Source organism: Homo sapiens, chromosome 11, assembly GCF_000001405.40.
Source record: "Homo sapiens chromosome 11, GRCh38.p14 Primary Assembly".
NCBI lineage: Eukaryota > Metazoa > Chordata > Mammalia > Primates > Hominidae > Homo > Homo sapiens.
Genome location: NC_000011.10, coordinates 25,776,115 through 25,792,415, shown reverse-complemented (window position 1 = coordinate 25,792,415; position 16,301 = coordinate 25,776,115). Strand labels below are relative to the sequence as shown.

Here is a 16,301-nt window from a genome sequence, read left to right as displayed (position 1 = left end):
ACTCAGGCAGTAATGTGAGTGATGGGGAGTGGCTGTAAATACGGATGAAGCTTCACTTGTCCACCTACCACTCACTTCCTGCTGTGCAGCCTGGTTCCCAACAGGCCACAGACTGGTACCAATCCATAGCCCAGGGGTTGGGGAACCCTGGTCTAAGATCAACATGAAGGAAATAATGCTAAAATTAGCAGAAGAAAAGCATGTACATCTATAATATTAAGAGTACCCTATCAGAATTACTGACACTCCTTATGTGCAGAGTCTCTCTGGAATACACTGTGTTATGTCAAGGGGAAAGTGGACATCTTTCAGATGTCCAAGAGAATCAGAGGCAGACACTTCATGTTGACACTCAGGAAAATAAATTAATACAGATACTATGTATTAATATTTTTCCTGTCTTTCTCCTTGGCTCCTAGGAAGGAACTCCAAACTAAAGGAATTTCCTCAAGTGAGAGGGGTGTTTTTGTTTATATGTAAATTGAATAAAGCATAATTATTATGCTTCCAGGATTTGCCCATTTGGTATAATATTGGCTGTGGGTCTGTCATAAATAGCTCTTATTATTTTGAGATACATTCCATCAATACCTAGTTTATTGAGAGTTTTTGCATGAAGTGGTGTTGAATTATATTGAAGGTCTTTTCTGCATCTATTGAGATTATCATGTGTTTTTTGTCATCGATTCTGTTTATGTGATGAATTACATTTACTGATTTACATATGTTGAACCAGCCTTGCATCAGAGGGAGTTTTGTCCAATGGATCCTCATTGGAACTTAAGAAATCTTGATAAGGACCTGGAATTAGCATCAAATATGGAAATATGTCTCCACAATTTTGTTTCCTCTAAGAAATAAAGGAAAAGTTAATATCAAAACATTGGAGGGCTTTAGCAGAATACTGGGGGTATAGAATTTTTAAGAATTAACTTATTAATTAAAAAACCAGAGCTATACTGAATAAAATTTTAAGGATTTAGCAAAATATATGAAAATAATTTGTACAAACTTTGACACTTTCAGCCTTTGAATGTGCAATATAATAATTCTTAATCAGAAGGTATGGTTTCTAGTCAGGTTTCTTATATTTGCTCAGCTAGAAAAAATAATCGAGAGTATCTGTTGTATTTTACATATTTTCAATAACTATTTGTTGACAATTCCTTACTTAAGGAAGGAAAGCAATAAGTATTTGTTGAAAATTCCTTACATAAGGAAAGAAAGCAAGATTTGTCTTGCTTTCTTCAAATAAATCTGTCTCTCAAACTTTTCTTAGTATGCGTGAATTCACTAAAAGGAAAAAAAAAAAAACACCCTAGCCCTGTGATTTTAAACAATTCTAAAAGAAACCCAGATGAAATAATAATTGTGACTATTCGTTGAGCACCTATGAAAATCTGACATTAATAAATTTTAGCTTACTTATTGACATATATTTCAAAATTAATTTTTCTTTTTTATAGAAAAGAAAAAAAATTACCTCTAGTAGGGGATATTCAAGAGATGATTCAAGCAAATAGCTTGTTTAATATGTGTTCCACAGATAGCAGTTAGGACATATTTTATCCATAGATTACAGGAAAAAAATAATCTTGCTTAAAAAGTCATTTGGTACTCTGTGGACTCTGTTAAGGCCAGAGGAACTTCTGTTCTTAGTACCTCTTTATTGTTTTATAGGTAGTTGTCAGCATATTCATTCTAAGGAAATAACCTGAAATGGTGTAACAGCAATTCTTAAGGGAATTGCATGAACACTTTGCAAAAATCTAACATGCAATGCCACTTAACTTCTCAGGTGTCCTGGGACTGTTCCCAACTGTTTCTTCATATATTTGCTTGCCTCAATCGATACTCTGTTAGGTGCAGCAGTTTTGTTGCACTCAGCCATAAAATGGTATGACTAGTTTTTCCATCCTGTTGCTTCATTAAAGGAAAAGGAGCACCCCCATGTAATGTTACTAGAATACTATAGACAATAAGTCCATGTCATGATAGTGAACAAAGTCAATCTTGTCCAATATTAAATTTAATGAAAAGCAATTCCCACAATTACTAGTAGATCATCTGGGTTTTCTTACTAGTTTAAATTTGTTCAAGGAGCCATTGACACCCTGAATGCATTGCTATATTTTTACAGTGCTCTAAATGACTCACAATTCAAAGCACATATATATAAAAGCTGCTGAGATCAGTTCTCAGAATGCAGACAAATTATTATTAAGTCAGCTTAGTGAGATATTCACAACAAAATTATCCTGCTTTATAAGAAATGCCTCATTGAGTTTCACATGGTTCACAGAGTTATAAAGGCTTCTAATATTTTGATTGTAAAGTAATATGCAAAGCACAGTAAATATTCCAAATTACCATAAATGATAGTAATGTCATATTCAATGGGCATAATTATTATTCATTGAAGACAAGGCAGATGGTGTTTTTAAAATTGTTTTGTTAATCAATCTTATTTTGGAAGGTTTTTGATCGAGGTCGATATAAAAGGCATGTCAGGTTGTAAAGTAAAACATTTAATTTAGATGAGAATAAAATGATATAGAGGACTGTGGGTGTTGTTATTTTCAAAACTGGTGGACTGCTGATGATATTTGCAGTTTGTCATTTCATTTGCCTCTGTGGAGTCTCTTGGAAGTTGAGGATGGATGGATGGATGGATAGAAAGAAAGAAAGATAGATAGATAGATAGATAGATAGATAGATAGATAGATAGATGATAGAATTTTTATATTCTTATTTTATTCATAGTAGTTGGCATTATTTGAATGTTTAATATTGTTAGGGCATTGTGAGAAATTGTCTTCCCATTTAATTCTCACAACATGTGAAATGTGTAATATTATTATCCTTTTTGTACAGACGAGAAAATAAAGATTTATAAACATTTATGTAACTTATCCAAGGTCATAAGTCTCTAAATGTCAAAAGCAGGTTGCAAATTCAGAATATTTCATTGTCATTACTTTTCAGCTTCTATTCACTGGTGAGTGAATTATATGAGGACTTGAGTATTGGATTTATATACTGAATGAGGTTTACAATGCCATATCTATTACTGTCTTTTTAGCATAAGGAGGATTCAAAGAGAGCTATTGATATGAAATTCAGTTTTCTCAGTTTTGTTTCACCTATCTCATCTAAAATAACTATGAAGTAAATCAAAGTTCATATGTGATTCTTAACCTTAAATCTGACACATTGTAAAAGTGAATATTTATAATTAAGCATAGTTTTTTTTCAGGTTTGAAAGAGGGAATATATCAAAATCTCATAGTACAGTGGCTTATCTATTATGTTTTAATAAATATTATTTTTCTTTTATATTTCCTTCATGATTATATGAAAAAAAGAAATTCATGTGTAAACACTATGTCCATGTCATTCCATACTATAGACCTCTAAATCACTAACTGTAACTTACTGGTTTTATTGATATTATCATTGGTATTGATTTTGTCCATGATTAATTTCTATTCAACTGATATTTTGAAGTATTATACCACATCAGTTTGTGAAGCTTTCCCAGAACCATCTTTGCTATATGGTTTCAAGTCAGAATGTCCAAAAAAGGAATTTCCATGAGACTTGTACTGCAGAATAGAAGCAGCAACATTGCACTTGAGAGGCCACTGAAGTTAGATATAGAACCAATAATCACAAAGATGTTCATTGGGTTCCATTTGAACTAATACTTCCTGACTTTGCATCCAACTTATCTTCCTGTGTTCAATACTAGTGGTACCAGGAGCATCAATAGATGCTTGGCTAGAGATTCACAGAGGAAGTACATACACACAGGTAATGGCTCCCCAAAGGCTTGTATATATATTCCTCTTTCATGATTTTATTTTATTCAGTTGATGTACTTTTCCTTTTCTGTTTTTTATGATGCAGCTTGTCTACCCAAGCTAGTACTTCAGACAGACATGTTAAGGATATTTTCTGCAATCCTCTGATTTACCTTTCCAGACTTCATGTCTCTATCAACTCCCACTGGTGTGTAAGATCTAATTCATAGATAAATTATTCTTATTCTTAAACATTATTCTTATAATGTTTATGGGAAACAAAGAAGTGGTTCTACTTCTTTAGGTGAACCTGAATTAATACAAATGTCCAAAAGTTGTAAATTCAACAATATATGAATATTTTCAAAGTGCCGTTAGAGTCTACCTTTTATTGATGTTTTATAAATTTTTATAATAATTTTGACGAATATTATTAGTAAAATTACTTATTACATTTTCACTTTCTTCTTACTAATTCCACTTATTTTCTCTTAATTACTTAAACCTAGATGTGAGACTTATTTTCTATGGATGAGATTATGCAAATTAACATAAAGGGTCATGTTTCTGAATTTTTTCCACCCTATTTTAACTTTAATAAATCAACAGTGGAGACAGTAGTATGAAAATTTATTATTTTCAATTGTAAGAGTCAGGAACTTGAAAAAAAGGCTTCTATCGCAACATTAAAATTTAAAGTTTTGAAGGAAGAAGGCATAAAATTTATCTCTAAAAATGAATTATTAAAACAGGAACAAAGAAACTTTTTGCAATAAAATGTTCTAACAGTTCACTGTGTTGCTGGTTGCAAAGTAATATACAATTATTTAAAATAATTAAATTGCATTAAGTGATTATAAAATTAAACTCATTTAGTTCTAGTTTTCCCCTTCTAAGTAGTAAGAGTTGGACCAGCTCTGGAAAGACGAAGATTTACAGGGCTTTAAAGAGTCTGGCATTCTGATCTTTCCAGTGCTAAACCCCTATGTGATTTTGCATTACTTGACAGTCTTTGCAGATAATGTGGTTAGCTTGCAGTGTATCACATTACAACACTGTATTCTACTTCACAGCGATCATATTTTCCAATGTACAGAGAAAATACCATTGCACTTCTTGTCCCAGATTAATTATTACTAGTTTCCATTTTCACACTAGAAATTAATTGAACAATACATTTCGTATTTAGTGCTAAACAATAAAATCATAATTACTACAGAAGGTCTCCAGATCTTATACATTTCAACATGAAATAAAGAGAAGTATCTACTAATACCCTTATGGTCCCCCAAGTAGGCAATGGAAATTGACAAACTCGTAGTAAAGGATGGAAAGCAAACTGAAGAGAGGACAACAAAATGTAGAGTGTGTGAACCTTGCAAATAGGGGCCAGTGAAGGGCACTGCAAAGCTGTAGGGACCTGACAAGATAAATAACCCTAAACCAGAAGCTAAAGGGAGCAGAGAACAATACAAGGAATTATTATACACCTGCCAGTTCTTGCAACAGCCAAATAATTTTGATTATGAAAAAGATGAGTGAGAATTTTAAAGCCTTGAATTTACACAGTAGAGACTGAATTTTGTTAGGCTGGTAATGCAATTTTGTGCTCACTCTTTTCAAATAGACTTTCTCTGCTTCTTGTACATACAACACACACATCTCCCTCAATCACAGTCATAAGATGTCTATGTATCCCAGTTCCAAATTCCTGAGTATCTGAGCAATCTGTAGACTAGCCATTCAACCAACTGTAGCATTTGGGCAGGGTTAGGAATTCTAGAGTCTTTCACCTGGAGGTTGGAAAGAGGGTGAGCTTTCCAGAAAAAAAGGTGACATAGTGAATATGCAAACATCCAAAAGATGTCTACTACAGCAATATAGACTGGCTTATATTGATTATAGTATTTAATCTTTCACTCTTCTCAGTAATTTTTCAGAGCATGCTAGTTAGGAGTCTAAAAAGCAAACAAATATTATGCAGTTTGCTCATAGTGTCAAGCAGAATAAATACATTACTCTGAATGATCCACATCTGTATATCATACCCTTTCTTTGAGTGTCAGTGAGATCTTTGAATATGAGGGAGTATCACTTTTGTGATTATGTTACGTGGCAAAATCGAATTTTGCAAATGGAATTAAGGTCTCTAATTAGAGCTAATCAAAAATGAAATTACCTAGTTACGCTTATCTAGCTAAGTAAGCTTTTAAAACAAAGTCTGGTGGTCGGAGTAACTCTCCCTTGCTGGCCCTGCAGAAACAGCCTCCATAAATTCCATAGCTTCAAGGAAATGAATTTTTCTAAAAACCTCATGAGCTTAAAAGGGAACCTGAATTTCAGATGAGTAGCCCTGATTGACACCTTTATTTTAGTTTTGTGAGACCTTGAGCAGATAACTCTACTATGCCCAGACTTCTGATCTATGGACAATGTGGGATAATAAATGAGCATTGTCTAAAACATCTTCGTTTGTGTAATTTGTTATAAAACTATGTAATACAACCAGAGTCACAAAGCTGATTGTCAGGTCTAAGATTTGCATCCAGTCTGAGCTAAATTCAAAGCCTGATAAGAGTCCCAATAAAACAAACATGAAAGCTTCCAATTTGCTGTGTATTGTGTGTGTTTGTGCACATGCGCATGTGTGCGTGGAAGAAAAACAGGGACAAAACAACAACAAGGAAGGAAGAAAAGGAGAAAGGGAAGAAGGAAGTAAAACAGTACTAACCATGAAAACTTTTTCTGGAAGATTATTGTTTCTTCAATTAACGGCACTAAGGCAGTAATCATGAAAGACACTACACTTATGCATAGCAGCTTATAAATTGTTTCCTAATATTACTGGTAAATACTCTAAGAAGACCAGAAAATACTCTAAGAAGAAGATAAGAAAAATTATGTTCTTGTGGAAAAAAGGTTCTTAAATTTCTATTTCGAAAAAAAAAGACAGAAAACTATGTTATGTTCAACCAAGGAATTACTTTAGCTTTTCCATACCCTAACCTTTGGATTTGATAAGATTATGTATGGTGCATAGCACCACAGCATATACTGGTAACCTTGGTCTGTAGGACTGATAGTTACCCCTAGGTGCATGTTCTGTTAATGTGTTCTATACATTCTACAACAAAATTTTCTGCAGTGCTATTGTAAAACATAATATGAGTAGCTTGGGAAAGCATGATGAATATTCAATGCTTGGAAGATCAGTTTCAGGGAGAGGGATATTTACATGTGTCTGTGTGACTGCTAATTATAGCATAACTGTCTGTTGCGCTAATCACAAATTTCAACCTTCTACAATTTGGTAGCCCTTATTTTCTTAAATTCAGATTGAAGATAGCAGAAATTGTTTCCATGAAATGTTATACAATAGTTGACTGTCTGGTTAATATTATCATATTAACTGCTTTGAAATGGCACTAAGTCTCATCTACCAGCTGAATGCGGGGTTTTTATAGGCACAAGATGGGGTAAGGTGTGGCCATGCGTGATTTACGAAAAGGCAGGATTCTAGTGGAAAAGCAGAGATATAAGTTCTGACTTTGTGCTATGGTTTCAGGCCTTCTGGCTTGAAGGTGGGGTTTTGCCAAGGATCCACCCTTTTCTGCCTAGAATTTGTTTGCTTCTTGTCCCTATTAATATTGAGTTTTATTGAAAACCTTTTCTGCGGCTATTGAAATATACATGTGATGAGTCACATTTATTGATTTGTGCATATTGTGTATATTCCAACCTTACATTCTAGGAATAAAGCCTGTTTGATTGTGGTGGATGAGCTTTTGGATGTGATGCTGGATTGGGTTTGCTAATATTTTGTCGAAGATTTTTGCATCTATGTTCTTCCAGGATATTGGCCTGAAGGTTTTTGTTGTTGTTGTTGTTATGTCTCTATCAGGTTTGGGTTCCAAAATGTTGCTGGCCATGTAGAATGAGTTAGGGATGAGACCCTTCTCAATGTTTGGGAAAGTTTCAGTGGGAATGATACCAGCTCTTCTTCATGCATCTAGTAAAATTCAGCTATGAATCTGCCTGGCTTTTTGTTGTTGGTAGTGGTAGGTTTTCATTACTGATTCCATTTCAGAACTCATTATTAGTCTGTTCAAGGATTCAATTTCTTCCTGGTTCAATCTTGGGATGTTGTATGTGTTCAGGAATTCATCCATTTCTTCTAGCTTTTCTACTTTTTGTGCATAAAGGTGTTCATGGTAGTCTCTGAGTTTTTTTTTTTTTTTTGTATTTCTATAATTCAGTGGCAATGTCCCCTTTGTTATTTCTATTTATTTGGCTCTTCTCCCTTTTGTATTTTATTTGTCTAGCTAGCTGTCTCTTATTAATTTTTTCATGGAGAAATTCCTAAATTATTACTCTTTTGTATGTTTTCTTGCATCTCATTTTTCTTCAATTCAGCTCTGATTTTGGTTATTTCTTCGGGTATTTTTTTTTTCTTTTTTATCTAGATCCTCGTGATGTTAGGTTGTTAATTTGAGATTGTTATAACTTTTTGGTGTTGGTGCTTAGTGCTATGAACTTCCCTCTTAACACTGCCTGGGCTATGTCCCAAATATATGTTGAATTTTTGTTCTCATTAGTTTCATAGTATTTCTTGGTTTCTACCTTAATTTCATTATTTACCCAAAAGTCATTTAGTGGGAGATTGTTTAATTTTCATGTAGTTGTATGATTTTGAGATATTTTCTTAGTATTGATTTCTATTTTTGTTGTGCTGTGTCCTAACGGTGTGGTTGGTATGATTTCAGTTTTTCTGAATTTGCTAAGGGATTTTTAAATGTCTGATTTTCTGATCAATTTTACTGTATGTGCCATGTTGTGATGAGAAGAATGTATATCCTGTTGTTTTGGCGTAAAGAACTCTGTAGATGTCTAGTAGGTCTACTTGGTAAAGCATCAAATTCAAGTTCTGAATATCTCTGTTAATTTTTTTTGTTAATCCCTGTTAATTTGATAATCTGTCTAATATGGTCATTTGGGTGTTATAGTTTCCTACTATTATTGTGTGGAAATCTAAGTCTCTTCAGAGGTCTGTAAGAACTTGCTTTATGAATCTGAATGCTCTTGTGTTGAGTGCATATGTATTTAGGATAGTTATGTCTTCTTGTTGAATTGAACCCTATAGCATTATGTAATTTCCTTTTTTAAAAATGTTTGTTGCTTTAAAGTCTGTTTTGTCTGAAATTAGAATAGCAAACCCTGGTAATTTCTACTTTCCATTTGCTTGGTAGATTTTTCTCTCTCCCTTTATTGTGATCCTATGGGTGTCACTGCATGTGAGACAGACCTCTTGAAGACAGCATTAACTATATCTTGCTTCTTTATCAAGCTTGCCCCTCTGTGCCTTCTAAATGGGGGCGTTTAGCCCATTTATATTCAAAGTTAATATTTATATTGTGGATTTGATCATGTTATTGTGTTGTTAGCTATTATTTATGCAAACTTGTTTGTGTGGTTGCTTTGTAGTGTCAGTGGTCTGTGTACTTAAGTGTGTTTTTGTAGTGGCTGGTAACAGTCTTTTCTTTCCATATGTAGTGCTCCTTTTAGGACCTCTTGTTAGGCAAGAATCGTGGTAAAAAATTCCCTCGGCACTTGCTTCTCTAAAACGGATTCTGTTTCTCATTCACTTACAAAGCTTAGTTTGGCTGGATACAAAATTCTTGGTTGGAATTTCTTCCTTTCAGAATGCTGAATATAGGCCCCCGTCTCCTCTGGCTTGTAGAGTTTCTACTGAAAGGTCTGCTATTAGCCTGATGGGGTCCTCTTTGTAGGTGACCTGTCCTTTCTTTCTAGTTTCCTTTAGCATTTTTTTCTTACATTTTGACCTTGGGGAATCTGATGATTATGTGTCTCGGGGATGGTCTTTTGTAGTATCTTGTATGAGTTCTCCGAATTTCCTGGATTTGAATTTTGTCCTCTCTAGTGAGGTTGAGGAAGATTTTGTGGGTGATAACCTGAAATATGTTTTCCAAGTTGATTGCTTTTTCCCTAGCTCTTTCAGGGATGCCAATGAGTCATAGATTTGGTTTCTTTATATAATCCTATATTTCTCAGAGGTCTTGTTTATTCGTCTTTTATTCTTTTCTCTTTACTTTTGATTGAATGAGTTATTTCAAAGAACCAGTCCTTAAGCTCTGATATTCTTTCAGCTTGGTCTATTATGCTGTTAATACTTGCAATTGCATTATGAAACACTTATAGTGCATTTTTCAGCTCTATCAGGTCAGTTTCATTCTTCTTATAATGACCATTTTGTGTATCAGCTCTTGTATCATTTTATTGTAATCTTTATATTTCTTGGATTGGGTTTTGACTTTCTCCTGAATCTCAATGATCTTCCTTCCTGACCATATTCTGAAATCTATTTCTGTAATATTAGCCATTTCGGCCAAGTTAAGATCCCTTACTGGGGAATTAATGTAGTCATTTGGAGGAAAAAAGACACTCTGGCTTTTTTGAGTTGCCAGAGTTCTCATGTTGTTTCTTTGTTATCTGTGTGGGTTGATGTTCCTTTAACTGCAGTGTAATTTGAGTACAGTCAGTAGACTTTTTTTTCTGGATATTTTCAGAGGGCTAAGGCTTTAGGTAGGGTCTTTATTTGTAGTTAAATTATTGTCCTTAGTTCCCCAGGGGGTATATTAACAAAGTATTTTTGCTGTTGATGTTACACTGTGATGCAGTAGATGGTGCTTAAATATAATGGCCAGTAGGTAGACTCTTCTTCAGCCACATGCTCATCTGTATTTTGCTCATGATTGCAGTCATGCACCCCCTCAGTGGTCTGAAAGTGTGTGCTCCTCTTCCACTTGAGTGTTGGTTGCAGATCTCACCTTGGCTGTCCTGAGCTGTATACCACTGGTCTGAGGCGAGCTCAAGCTTTATGTTCTCTCCCCAGCTTGGAGGCAGCAGGGAATGGGATCTTGATGATGGTTGTGAGAGAGATTTTTTCAGTTGTCTCTTGAGGGTTCCCTAAGAGAGATGTAGAAGCACTATCGATCAGTGTGATCAGCCTGGGGTGGGGGCAGTTGTGCTGTGGGCCCAAGTTAGGGGATCTTGCCCCTAAGTAGGGAGGTCAGGGAGGTCAAGTAGGGAGGTCATCAGGGAGACAGACTGGCCTCTCCTTCTTAGGGGAACTGCAGCTTGCTGGAGGTGTGGTTAAATCACTCAAGGGGCTTTGCTCCTTCTCCAGTCTGAGGACAACAAGGATAGTACTACTATACTCTATACTATCCAGTGGCAGTGGATAGAGGTATTTTCAGTTGTCTCTGGGAGCTCTACCTCAGAGAAACGTGAAGCCAGTGTTACCAGGAATGTTCAGCCAGGGGCTGGATGACTGAGCTGCTGGCTCTAGCTGAGGGCTCTACCTGCTGAAGACAGTGGGATGAGAGGTGGGGTGTTGAGTGCTCCCAGGGAGGAGACACTAGGCTCCTCTCCCTGTGGTGGCTGTGATGTGCTGGAGGCACAAATGAAGCCCTCAGGTTCTTTGTTTCTTCATCAGACCAAAGGCTACAGGGGCAAAACCCCTGCCATTGCAGTATTAGAGGGCCTGTCAGTTGCCTCTGGAAGCCCCTCCCAAGGGAAACACAGAGCCACTACCTGTGGGTATGCTCAGCTTGGGGTGGGGTGGCTCTTGTGCTGTCTTGATCTTGGGGGCCCTGCCTGGTGATGAGTGGGGTATAGGAGCTCACAGGGAAGGGAGACTGGGCTTCTTTTTGTATAATGGCTGCTGTGTGCTGGAGGTGCTAGAGTAATGACCAGGCCTTTTGTTCCTTCCCCAGCCTGAGGCTGGTCAGGGAAGTAGCCCTGCAGTTGCAAAGGCAGAGGGGCTGTGGTTTGTCTCTGAAGTTCCTTCTAACAGAAATTCAGAACTGCCTCTGACTGAGGTGTTCAGGCAGGGGCAGGGTAGTTGTGCTGGAGCCTCAGGCCAGGATGACCCACCCAGTAAGAAGTGAACCCACATGGGAAATAGTCTTACCACGTTTTCATGGGGGTGGCTACACTGTGCTGGGGGTCCGCACCAGTCTCTAGTCACTGAGAACCTTCCAGAGTCGGGGAGTAACAACTTTGAGGGCTGTGGGGCAGCAGAAATGGTGTTCTGCCTGCTCTGTCTGGGAGATCTGTCCCAAGAAAATGCTGAAAATTATTTTAAATGTACCCATATTCCTTAGTGTAACACCAGAAAAAAGTCATTTATCTGTATGTAAATAATTTCCTTTTTATATGAATGTTGAATATTTTTACTTAACTACCTCCTAATAAAATAAATTTAGGTTAAAATGTTTAAGTCATTATTTAAAATTTTACTAGTAAGAGTTGAAGGTGATCATCTTTAATAAATTATACCATAACATTTCTCAGTAGTCTATCATCAAAATAAGTTGAGATTGTTAATAAATTATAATTGGACATCACAGTTATGATAAACAATAAACTAATGTGTATTTTTAACACAAAGTATTCATAGTGGAAATTCAATGTGTTTATTGCACACGTTATATGTTTTTTACTTTAGTGAAATAAATGATGATATGGCTATTCCTCACAAAGCAACTGTTTTGTGCCAAACAATTTATATATATATCCTAATATATATATTTTATTATATATATAAAATAGGATTATTATTTATTATATATAATAGGATTATATATAATCCTAATAATAACCTTATGAAGTAGGCATTATTACACTCAACTTACAGATGAGGAAACCCAGACAAATATGTATAATGTTGCTGCCTTTTGTAGGCAGCAGATTAAATATATATTTACCAATACCAAAAGAGATAATTAAGACCAATGTAAAATGAAGTCACTGAAACAATGAGAAACTAAGCCCCCATATAAAATTAGAATACATGCAAATATATATTACAAAACCATATGTAATGATGCTATATATGTATATAAACATATGTGTGCATATAACGTTATATATAGGCACGTATACATATGCAATAATCGTAATGTAAGCATGTGTGCATATGTGTGTGCATGTGTAAGTATAGAGAAAGATCTCATATTTTAAATATAAGGTTTAGTAAGTTTTCATATTAATATCTAGTGCTTCCCCTCCAGGTAAAAACTAAGACCATTGCGCAGATATCACAAAGGAAAATAGCACAGACCTGATGTTACCAGCATCTTTTTTTTTTCTAATTCATCACAATTTTATGTTACCCACTAATCTTCAAATTCTCACATCATTTTACATTGAAATGGCACTGCAGCATCTGCATTAATTAAAAGAAATGTGTCTCTCAGCATATAGTAGATCAATCCAGATCTTCACTGGGTGTATTGACTTGTCTAGTGTGGTCCTTACTAGCTACTGTGCACATTCAATAAATCATAAGATGAGGAGAGTCTGCTCTTCTTTAAGAATGCATGCCACAGCTATCTGGACCACCTCCTCTGTGGCTCAGCAGCTTGGAGAGATAATAGAGGCTGCCTTTCAGCAGGAGGATCATATCTAAACAGAATTATCTCTACAAAATGATTTTATTCTCTGAAGAAGTTATTGCCACTATTATTTCATGTGTGATTAAATCAGGTCTCCCGTGCTTCTCACTGCAAATGCCCAGGGTTTTGTTGTGTAATTATCAATTCTCTACTTCTACACGAAATAAAATTGTAAATAATAATACTAATTACGCTCATTGTATTATCTGCAATGTGCTTTAAGCAACTTCAGTATAAGTAGTGTACAATGCCTGCATGTCTTAGTTCTTTCCTCTATCTAGGGAAGTTAATTTTGGAACCTTGCCAATCAACAATATACTCTCCAGGGATATTGTTCTACAAGTGCTTTAATATGGTTATATAATTTTCACTAGACTGTGCTAATTACAATAAGTGATGATAGATTTTTTTTCATTGATGAAATAAATGATATTAACATTTGTGGATTTGTTAGAAATATTGTACTCTGTACTCTGACATTATTAAGAATGTAAAAATCTAGTTAGTTTTAGCAGCCAGTTTTCCCCTTGGTGCTCTTAGTCTAGAACTCAGATGTGGTTCTTTTGTCCCACCACCTACTAGAGCTGTGCAGTCCAATCTGATAGAAGCTAGCCACATGAAGCAATTTAAATGTAAATTCACTAAGATTAACTACATACAATTTAATATCTATCACACTAGCTACATTTCAAGTACTGAAAGGCCACATGTACCTAGTGGCTACAGTGTTGGATAGACAAGATATACCATAATATATTTTGATCACCTCAGGATGTTCTATGCACAGCAATGCACTGGAGAATTGATATTACCTAATTTGACCATAAAATTAGCTGAGATGTCTGTTACAAATTGTTGCATCTGCCTCAAGACTACTTTCACACAAAGTTTTTGGTGGAGTTCTCATGAGTTTAAGATCTAAAATTTCATCAAATTTAAACAACAAGGCCATATAGTTATTGTGTATGAGTGCATATGTGTGTGTGTGTATGTGTATGTGTGTTTGTGTCTTCTTGCTATTGAAAGTTTTTAGGCAAGATCTAAATTGAAACTTTATTCCATTTAAACATGTTACCTTACATGGGGATAGTGTCTAAGAATCCTCAAACCATAATTCTATAAAACCAGTGAAATCTATTAGCTATCTATTGCTTCCTAGAAAATTACTCCAAAGCTCCGTAGCTTAATACAAGTTTTTTTTTTTTTTTATCTCATTGTTTCTATAGTTTAAGAATTCAGGTGTGACATCTGAATTTGAATCACAGTGTCTCCCAAGTTTACAATCAAGGTGTTGATTGAAATCATCTCAAGGCTTGATGAGTGGAGGATCCACTTCCAGGCTTACCCAGTTGGGTCTTGTGAGGTCTCAGGCCTGGTTGTTGGAAGGACACATCAGTTTGTTGCCACATGGGCCTCTGCATAGGGAATCTCACGGTGACATATCTAGATCCATGAAGGTGAGAGGAAGAGAATGAGAAAGAACAGGAAAGGACAAGCAAGAGAAAATCATAGTCTTTTTTAACATAATCTCAAAAGAGATATTTCATCATTGTTATAGAATTTTATTTGTTACAAATGAGTCACTAGGCACAACCCACACTCAGGAGAAGAGGATTACACAAGGACATGGATATCAAAAGGTGAGGTCGCTAAAAACCATTTTAGAGGCTGTCTGCCCCATCTCCAAAAATAACACATGGTGGTGAGGTTCAAATTGGCTCATGTCAGTTTACAACAAATAGAAATAATAGACTGCATCCATAGAAGGATTACTAGGAGATGGACACTGAACTGAGCACTTTATTTGCATTGTCACATTTAATCCTTGAATAAGATTATGAAGGAGGTAATATTCTCATTCTTCTGAAAAGAAAAATAAGATGTAAAAATATACATATGCACACAAAAACATAAAATTGCAACTATTATACAAACACAAATTTATGATTTTGCATAGCATTATAAAAGGCTTTTCTTCAGGATTTAAAAAATATTTATAGTAACTATAATTTAACAGATATGTAGTGACATTTGTATTAATGCATAAATTTCAGTGTTATGTAATTCGATTTTTCATAATTTTAAATATATACTACTGAACATTTCTGCACATAAAGTTTTCTGCTTCTGTTTTGCTATAATTGTTGGATAAATCCCTTGGTGACAAATTTTGAAGTAATTAGAAATATTGGTACATATTGCCTTGTTTTTTCAAAAAGCCTATACCACCTTACAACGCAAAAAGTATAGGCATGCTCCAATTTTACTGTGTTTTGGTAGCAATGGCTTCAACAATTGTAATTTTTAATAATGTGTTAGCGTAAAAACCAGCTCCTTGATATACATTTGTATGCATAATTTGATCTCAAATATACATTTATACACATTATTGTCACTTAACAAAGGTGAGTATTTTCACTTTTGTATATTTACTACCTGCCTTTCTTATGTCAACTGATCATTTTGCATGCATGTAATTTTTCATATTTTAGCAACAAGTGTGGGAGGTTACATTTTGTCATTTTCTCTAAATTTGTTAATCATGACCTGCTTGTAAGAATTTAAAAAAACCGAAAGATGTCACATGGTATTTCTATTTGCAACATTGTTACATCCATTTGAGTTAATGACACATAATAACACAATGTCAAATATGTAAAAGATCTCTGGGAATGGTGGAATAAAAACTCCCAAAGCACTTTCCATGTTCCCATGATTCCAGAAACTCTTTTCATAAAGCTGCTTTATTGACAAGGCTTAAGATATTTAAAAGGCAGAATAGAATTGAAAGGATAAAGTTTAAAAACTAGAATTTAAAAGGCAAAGGCAAAGAACAAAGCAGGTTCATTTCCCATCAATACCCATTTTAAGACAGACTGTAATTCTCCAGAGTATGTATTGCAAATAACATAGACAGTGGATTTAAAATGTAATTGATTGCAATATTTGCAGGAAAAGATAATCCAGAGATTGCCAAAACAATGGTGAGGCATAAAAGAGAGAGAGAAAGATTTTGGCGAAA

General features: G+C 35.0%; 1 long non-coding RNA gene across 3 annotated transcripts in view; it reads right to left on the bottom strand.

Moving 5' to 3' along the window:
* The window catches only part of LINC02699 (long intergenic non-protein coding RNA 2699), a 470,852-nt gene that overhangs the window by 132,036 nt on the left and 322,515 nt on the right, over window positions 1–16,301 (bottom strand). For 2 of the 3 annotated variants that reach the window (NR_183693.1, NR_183692.1), the window contains 3 exons: window positions 14,625–14,722; window positions 11,794–11,935; window positions 10,396–10,787 (listed from right to left, as the gene is read on the bottom strand). The exons of the other annotated variant lie outside the window; for it this stretch is intronic. This is a non-coding gene — a long non-coding RNA (long intergenic non-protein coding RNA 2699). Of the gene's footprint in view, window positions 1–10,395; window positions 10,788–11,793; window positions 11,936–14,624; window positions 14,723–16,301 lie in introns of those variants that run through there. 3 annotated transcript variants of the gene reach the window in all.